The sequence below is a fragment of the Homo sapiens genome, chromosome 3 (genome assembly GCF_000001405.40).
Source record: "Homo sapiens chromosome 3, GRCh38.p14 Primary Assembly".
Classification (NCBI taxonomy): domain Eukaryota; kingdom Metazoa; phylum Chordata; class Mammalia; order Primates; family Hominidae; genus Homo; species Homo sapiens.
In genome coordinates, this window is record NC_000003.12 from 29,086,514 (window position 1) to 29,095,883 (window position 9,370).

At 37.7% G+C, this 9,370-nt stretch overlaps 1 pseudogene; it reads left to right on the forward strand.

The window, feature by feature from the left end:
- Positions 833–3,103, forward strand: MESTP4 (mesoderm specific transcript pseudogene 4; annotated as a pseudogene).

Genomic DNA, 9,370 nt, shown 5'->3' on the forward strand with positions numbered 1-9,370 from the left:
CATTTGTTTGTGACTTCTCTGATTTCTTTGAGAAATCTTTTGTAATTCTCATTGTAGAGATTTTTTACCTCCCTGGTTAGCTGTATCCCTAGGTATTTTTGTGGGTGTGTGGCAATTGTGAATGAGATTGGTTTCTGATTTGGCTCTCAGTTTGGCTGTTGTTGGTGTATAGGGATGCTAGTGATTTTTGCACATTGATTTTGCATCCTGTAACTTTGCTGAAGTTGTTTTTCAGCTGGAGCAGCTTTTGGGCTGAGACTATGGGGTTTTCTAGATAGAAAATCATGTCATTTGCAAACGGAGATAGTTTGACTTCCTCTCTTTCTTTTTGGATGCCCTTTATTTCTTTCTCTTGCCTGATTGCTCTGGCTAGGACTTTCAATACTATGTTGAATAGAAGTGATGAGAGAGGGCATCCTTGTCTTGTGCTGGTTTTCAAGGAGAATGATGCTAGTTTTTGCCTATTCAGTGTACTGTTGGCTGTGACCTTTACAGAACTCTTCACCCAAAAACAACACAGTATACATTCTCCTCATCACCACATGGCATGTACTCTAAAATTAACCACATAATTGGACATAAAACAATCCTCAACAAGTGTAAAAAGAACCAAAATCATATCAAACACACTCTAGGACCACAGCACAATAAAAATAAAAGTTGAGACTATGAAAATTGCTCAAAACCAAATAATTACATGGAAATTAAACAATACAATATGTCCTGAGTGACTTTTGGGTAAATAATGAAATTAAGGCAGAAATCAGGAAGTTCTTTGAAAATAATGAGAACAAAAATACAATATAAAATACAATATACTAGCATGCACAACCGGTTCCCCCAAACATGGAGTCCTGCAGCCCAGTTCTTACCTGAATCAGGATGGAGGGTGTGGTGGGTCCAAGTGGAGCTGTTGGCCATGTGCCTACTTGCTGCGTACCTGCAGATCCCACTCCCTCAGGTCTCCCTGGCCCTTCACTCTTGGAAGTCTTCAGGCAAATTTTTCACTTACGAGGGACTGCATATATTCTACCAAGACTCTGTGGGTGTGGTTGGAAGTCTGGAGATAGCTGTGCTTTTACACAGCCTTCCAACATCCAGCTATGATTGGTACAAGATTTGGGAAGGTCTGACCTTGAGGTTTCATCAAGTTCTTGTGCTTGATTTCTTAGGCTTTGGCTTCAGTGACAATCCACAACCACATCACTATTCCATATTTGAGCAGGCCAGCATTATGGAAGTGCTTTTGTGGCATCTGGGGCTCCAGAACCACAGGACCAACCTTTTGTCTCATGACTATGGAGATATTGTTGCTCAGGAGCTCCTCTACCAGTACAAGCAGAATCAATCTGGTAGGCTTACCATAAAGAGTATCCATCTGTCAAATGGAGGTATCTTTCCTGAGACTCACCGTCCACTCCTTCTCCAAAAGATACTCAAAGATGGAGGTGTGCTGTCACCCATCCTCACGTGGCTGATGAACTTCTTTGTATTCTCGATGTCTCACCCCAGTCTTTGGGCCATGTACTTGGCCCTCTGAGAGTGAGCTGTGGGATGGTACATGTGGGCAGTCCCATCCCACAGCTGCAACAATGATGGGAACTTAGTCATTGTCAATCTCTTACAGTACATCATCAATCAGAGAAGTTTAGAAGACACCGAGTGGGAGCTCTTGCCTCTGAAACTAACCCCATTGATTTTATCTATGAGCCACTGGATCCTGTAAATCCCTATCCAGAGTTTTTCGAGCTGTACAGGAAAATGCTGTCACGGTCCATGATGTCAATTCTGGATGACCACATTAGCCACGATCCACAGCTAGAGGATCCCATGGGCTTCCTGAATGCATACCTGGGCTTCATCAAGTCCTTTTGAGTTGGAAAGAGTAGATTCACTGTATTACCTCCCCTACCCCCTTATCCATTGCGTATTCCACTTAAGAAGAAATGCCCAAAAGAGGTCCTGGCCATCAAACACTGTTCTCTCACAAAGTCCACTTTACTCAAATTGGTGAACAGTATATAGGAAGAAGCCAGCAGGAGCTCTGGCTAAGGTTGACATAATAGTCCACCTCCCATTACTTTGACATCTGATCAAATGTACAGACTTGCCTTTGTTTTTATGTTTCTAGGAAATTCTGATTAGTACTACTATTCACTGATGCAGAAAGACATTCTTTTGCATAAAAGACTGTTTAACACTCTGGACTTTTCTAAAGTATTTAGTAGTGCTAATTTCTGGCCCAGCCCTAATAGGAATTCTGCGGTAAGAATGATGAGAAGGGCCTCCTTCCTTCTCCTCGAATGGCTTTATGCGCACATGCTTTTTAAAAGTTCTTTAAGCAAGACAGAGCTGAGTCTTATTTGTCATACCTTGGGATTTAGTTTCACCAGCTGTTTTTAATTATAAACATAGCATTAAAATAGATATTGGTTTAAATAATGTAGTATTCTTAGTATGATTTAAGACTTATGATTTACCTACATATTATACATATTTGATAAGAATGCTAAATCAATATACCCTTACTCTGCCAGTGAACATAATTAAACATGTTTCATTTCTGAATAAATTTAAGTAGATCCAAACTATTTACTGAATTTACTAAAATCACAGGACATTAAGGACCAGTAGCATCTATGCCAGAGATTTACCGTTATTGCCAGTAAGACCGATTCTAACAGCAAATAACAGTCTGAGACTCCTCATACCTCAGTGCTTAGAAGCATGTCTCTCTTGAGCTACCATAGAGGGGAACGGATGGTTTTGTTGTCCAAGCCACCATATGCAACGTACATTGATTCCTTTATGATGACTGCTTAACTCCCCATTGCCTGTCCCAGAGAAGCTTTCTCATGTAGCTTGGTAATTCCTGTACTTTACAGACAGAAAAGTTCCAGAAACTTTAAGAACAAATTCTGAGAGACCTATGAGCAAATGATGCTGAATACTTTTTTTAAGCCACATTTCACTGTCTTAGTCAAAGCAGGATTATTAAGTGACTATTTAAAATTCATTTTTTAAATTAGCAACTTCAAGTATGGCAACTTTGAGACTGGAATAAGTATTTATTTTCTGTAAATAAAAATGAATTGTGACAAAAAAAATGACAACATACTAGAATCTCTAGGACACAGCTAAGGCAGTGTTAAAAGGGAAATTCATAGCACTAAATACCCACATCAAACTCTTAGAAAGATCTCACATTAACAGCCTAACTTCATAACTGAAAGAATTAGAGAAGCAGGAACAAACCAGCCCCAAAGCTAGCAGAAGATGAGAAATAAAAATAAAAATCAGGCCAGGCACGGTGGCTCACACCTGTAAGTCCGGTACTTTGGGAGGCTGAGGCAGGGGGGTCACCTGATGTTAGGAGTTCAAGACCAGCCTGGCCAACATGGTGAAACCCTATCTCTACTAAAAATACAAAAATTAGCCGGGTGTGGTAGCAGGCACCTGTAATTCCAGCTATTCGGTAGGCTGAGGCAGGAGAATTGCTTGAAGCTGGGAGACAGAAGTTGCAGTGAGCCAAGATTGTATCATTGCACTCCAGCCTGGGGTGACAAGAGCAAGACTTTGTCTCAGAAATCAAAAGTTCAACGAACCCAGGAGCTGGTTTTTTGAAAAAAAAAAAAAGTAGGCCACTAGCTAGACTAATAAAGAAAAAAAAAACAGAAGTTCCAAATAAACACAATTAGAATTTTGAAGGGAATGTTACTACTGACCTCACAGAAATGAAAACAACCATCAGAAACTACTACGAACACCTTTACGCACAAAAACTAGAAAACTTAGAAGAGATGGATAAATTCCGAGACACATACACCCTCCCAAGACTGAGCCAGGAAGAAATTGACTCCCTGAATAGACCAATAATCAGCTCTGAAATTGAATCAGTAATAAATAGCCTAGCAACCAAAAAAAAAAAAAAAAAAAAAGCCCACGACCTGATGGATTCACAGCTGAATTCTATCAGATGTACAAAGAAAAGATGGTATAATTCCTACAGAGACTATTCCCAAAAAATTGAGAAGAGGGACTCCTTTTCAGCTCATCCTATAAGGCTAGCATCATCCTGATACCAAAACCTGGCAGAGACACAACAAAAAATGAAAACTTCAGGCCAATACCTTTGAATAATCGAAACAAAAATCCTCAACAAAATATTTGCGAACTGAATCCAGCAACACATCAAAAAGCTAATCTACCATGATCAAATAGGCTTCATCCCCAGGATGCAAGATTGGTTCAACATATGCAAATCAATAAGTGTGATTCATCACATATACAGAACTAAAGACAAAAACCACATGATTATCTCAATAGACACAGAAAAGGCTTTCAATAAAATTCAACACCCTTCATGTTAAAAACTTTCAATAAAGTAGGTATTGAAGGAACATACCTCAAAATAATGAAAGCCATCTGTTTATTTAGTTGATACTATGTGCTGGGTATATTTCTAAGTGTATGGACACAGCAGTGAACAACATTAAAACAAAGCAAAATAAAACTAAAATGTTCCTACTCTCAGGGAGAGTTTAAGGAACTTGCCTGAAGTCACAAAGCTCCTAAATGACAGAGCTGGAATTGAAACCTAGACTGTGTGACTCTATAGCCTATGCTCTTCACTACTAAGCTGTGGTGCCTTTCTTTTAAAAAATTAATTAACTTTATTTTTAGACCAATTTTGGTTTTACGGAAAAATTGAGTGGAAATTACAAAGAATTCTGAATCCATTCACTGCTCAATCATGTTTCTTGACTTTTGATGCAGAAAGCAATGGAAAATGAATAAAACACTAGTATACCTAAAGAAAATCCCCTCCCTTTTCTCTGTACTTGCATTACAATAAAGTAAGTGAAAATTTCCATCATCCTAAGTTATTCATTCATTCTTTCCACACGTACTTATAGAACCTCTCCCATGTGTCAGGCTACTCAAAAAGAATGATGAATAAACTGACATGAACCCTGACCTTATAGAGTTTATGGTAGAATATAAACCTTGGCGGAGACAATATCGGAAATGAATGTCTAATTACAAAAGACAGAAACATTAAAAGACAATGTGGCAAACAGTTTTAAAGTCCAAGTTCTTTTTGAGGGAGTAATAGTTCAGTGACACCTGGAGGATGAAGAAAAGTTAACCTTGCAAAGAAAAGAGGAAAGGACATTTCAGGGAGGGGATCACCACACACACAGTTACTGAGGAGGTTAAGAATTCGAAGGTTTCAAAGTATAAAGAGCTGAGTTGGTAAAGGAAATGAAAAATGACTGGACTGAGAGATAGGAAAAAAGCCAGGAGAATTTGTTGTCACAAGAATCAAGAGAAGTATGATCACATAAGGTCAAGTAAGTTTAAGATTTTTTAAGAGGTCCATTGGAGGATGTTTGTGACCTTTCATTTTTTGATATCAGCATTAACACAAGGGCTGTTTTAAATGGCTTTCTAAAAAATTTCAAGTGCATGTTTTCCTATCAAGAACTGTGTTCTCAAGGTTCTGAGTAAAGAAGTGTCTAGTTAATGGCCGATGAGAAAGTCATCATAGGTGTGTGTAGATAATATTTAAAAGCAGTTGAATATGCAAGGAAGAGAGAACAGTCAGTAGAAATGAAGGTGCATTCAGGGAGTTCTTCTTTCCTTTGCTTGAGACCAATTAGAGAAAATTAAAATGCTGTTTTCAGAAATCTAACAGAGAGGGAGAGGCTGAAAATGCAAGTAGGAGGAGATAACTGAGGTGGTAGAAATGTTAGTATCTGGATAGCCATACAGGGAAAGGCCTCTGCTAGAAGAAGCCTCACTTACTCCAAGGTTGTTAGAAGGAAAAAGAAAAGATGAGCAAAGATTTAGGTCAGTTGTATATTTGATGACAATATCAATTATGATTTTTAGGAAGCGTGCAGTGCACATTTAATATAGAATGAGAAAGGGTAGGAGTTGGGGAGAAAGAGAGGTCAGGTCCTTGAAGTCAGTAAAGGATGGTTGTGGAGAGTGGGAAAGTGAACTTAGAGAAACGGTAAGTATGCCAACCAGTGTTGGGTAACCACTTGAACTAACAACCAGGAATTTATAGTGAGATCAGCAAATTAGAATCGAGTTTCCTTGGGCCTAGAGCTGAAATGGGAGTAGTTTACATACAGTTTCTCTCTCAAATATCTTGATATTATATCCAGGGCTGGTCCAATGTTTCTACAGTTATTAAGAGCCCAGGCCCATTCTGTTTTGGCACTCTGCTTTCTCCATCATTTGACTTCCATTTCATGGCAAAGATGGTTTTCTGTTCCAATCAGCAAGAAGGGGAAAGAGACAAATAGAGTACATCTACCCATCTTTTAAATTTGTCGGCGAGTGAGATGATTGAATTAATCACTTTGGAAACTGAGCAGGTGAGGTGTTGAAAAGTCTAGGATCAGCTGGGCACAGTGGCTCACACCTGTAATCTCAGCCCTTTGGGAGGCCGAGATATGGTGAAACCCCATCTCTACTAAAAACACAAAAATTAGCCAGGCATGGTGGCACATGCCTGTAGTCCCAGCTACTCGGGAGGCTGAGGCAGAAGAATCGCTTGAACCCAGGAGGCAGAGGTTGCAGTGATCCGAGATCATGCTACTGCACTCCAGCCTGGGTGACAGAGTGAGACTCTGTCTCAAAAAAAATAATAATAATAATAATAATAATTCTAGGACCTTACTGTGGGAATGAGGTGGCAGGAGAAAAAGTCATTGGAGATGAGGAAGTCAAGGATGGAAAATCCAAATTATTAGTGTTATTCCTGTGGAATATGATATCCAGATTGATAGCCAGATTTAGGGAATAGAGAGACTTGTGCTGTTCTTCGTAATTTTTTTCTTAATTTCTATTTAAATAGCTTTGAGGTACAAGTGTTTTTTGTTATGTGGATGAATTATATAGTGGTGAATTCTGAGATTTTTAGTGCACCTGTAATTTGAGTAGTGTACATTATACCCAATGTGTAGGTATTTTTTCTTCCTAACCCACCTTTCCCTCCTCCCACTTCTGAGTCTCTAAAGTCTATTATATAACTCTGTATGCTTTTGCATACTCATAACTTAGCTCCCACTTATAAGTGAGAACACAGTTTTTGGTTTTTCCACTCTTGTGTTACTTCACTTAGAATGATGGCCTCCAGCTCCATCCAAATTGCTGCAAAAGACATTATTGTGTTCTTTTTCATGGCTGAATAGTATTCCATGGTGTATATATATCACATTTTCTTTATCCACTCATTAGTCAATGAGCACTTAGGTTGGTTCCACATCTTTGCAGTTGTGAATGGTGATGCTACAAACATGTGTGTGCCAGAGTCTTTTTCATATAGACTTCGTTTTTGGGGGTTTGATACCCAGCAGTAAGATTGCTGAATCCAGCAGTAGATCTACTTTTAGATCTTTAAGGAATTTCCATACTGTTTTCCATTAGGTTGTACTAATTTATATATTTCTACCAGCAGTGTATAAGCTTTACTTTTCATCATATCTGTGCCAACATCATTGTTTTTTGACTTTTTAATAATGGCTATTCTGAGTGGTATGCATCTCGCTGTGGTTTTAATTTGCATTTCCCTGATGATTAGTGATATTGAGCATTTTTTTCATATTTTTGTTGGCCATTTATACATCTTCTTTTGAGAAGTGTCCATTTATGTCATTTGCCTACTTTTTAATGAAATTATTTGATTTTTTTTCTTGCTGATTTGAGTTCCTTGTATATTCTGTATATTATGTATGTATTCTATATATTATATTCTGCATATTCCTTTGTCAATTGTATAGTTTACAAATATTTTCTCTCATTCTGTGGGTTTTCTGTTTACTCTCCTGATTATTTATTTTGCAGTGCAGAAGCTTTTTAGTTTAATTAGGTCCCATTTATTTATTTTTATGTTTGTCGTATTTGCTTTTGGGATCTTAGTCATAAATTCTTGCCTAGGCTTATTTCTAGAAGAGTTTTTGCAATGTTGTCTACTAAAATTTTTATAGTTTCAGGTCCTATGTTTAAGGTTTTGATCCATCTTGAGTTGATTTTTGTATAAAGTGAGAGATATAGGAATCCAGTTTCATTCTTCTACATGTGGCTTGCCAGTTTTCCCAGCACCGTTTATTAAATAGCGAGTCCATTCCTGAATTTATGTTTTTGTATGCTTTGTTGAAAATCAGCTGGCTGAATGTATTTGGCTTCATTTCTGGGTTCTCTATTCTGTTCAATTGGTCTACCTGCCTACTTTCATGCCAGTACTATGCTGTTTTGGTAACTATAGCCTTGCGGTGTTACTTGAAGTCTCATAATGTGATACCTCCAGATTTGTTCATTTTGCTTAGGATTGCTTTGGCTATTTCGGCTCTTTTGTGCTTCCATATGAATTTTAGGAGTGTTTTTTCTAATTCTGTGAAGAATAAAGTTAGTATTTTGATAGGAATTGCATTGAATTTATAGATTGCTTTGGGTAGTATGGCCATTTTCATAATACTGATTCTTTCAATCCATGAGCATGGTATTGTTTGTGTCATCTATTATTTCTTTCAACAGCATTTTGTAGGTCTCCTTGAAGAGAACTTTTACCTCCTTGGTTAAGTATATTCCTAGGTGTTTTGTTTTGTTTTTTGTTTTTTTCAGCTGTTGAAAAAAGAGTTCTTGGTTTGATTCTCAGCTTGGTCATTGTTGGTGTATAGCAGTGCTACTGATTTGTGTACATTGACTTTGTAATTTGAGATTTTACCAAATTTGTTTATCAAATCTAAGAGTCTTTTTGGAGGAGTTTTTAGGGTTTTCTAGGTATACAATCATATTATCTGCAAACAGTGATAGTCTGACTTCCTCTTTTCCAATTTGGATGCTTTTTCTTTCCTTCTTTTGACTAATTGCCCTGGCTAGGACTTTCAGAACTATATTGAATAGGAATGGTGAAAGTGGGCACCACTGTCTTGTTCCTGTTCTCAGGGGGAATGCATTCAACTATTCCACATTTAGTGTAATGTTGGCTGTGGTTTTGTCATATATGGCTTTTATTCTTTTGAGGTAGGTTCCTTCTATGCCTAGTTTGTTAAGAGTTTTATCATAAAGTGATGCTGGATTTTGGTGAATGCTTTTTCTACATCAATTGAGATTATTATATGGCTTTTGTTTATAATTCTGTTTATGTCATGTATCACATTTATTAACTTGCTTATTTTAAACCATCCCTGCATCCCTGGGATGAACCCCATTTGATCATTATGTATTATGTTTTTTATGTGCTGTTGGATTTGGTTAGCCAGTATTTTGGTGAAGATTTTTGCATCTATGTTCATCAGGGAAATTGGTCTGTAGTTTTTCTTTTTTGTGTGTGCCGTTTCCTGGTTTTGGTACT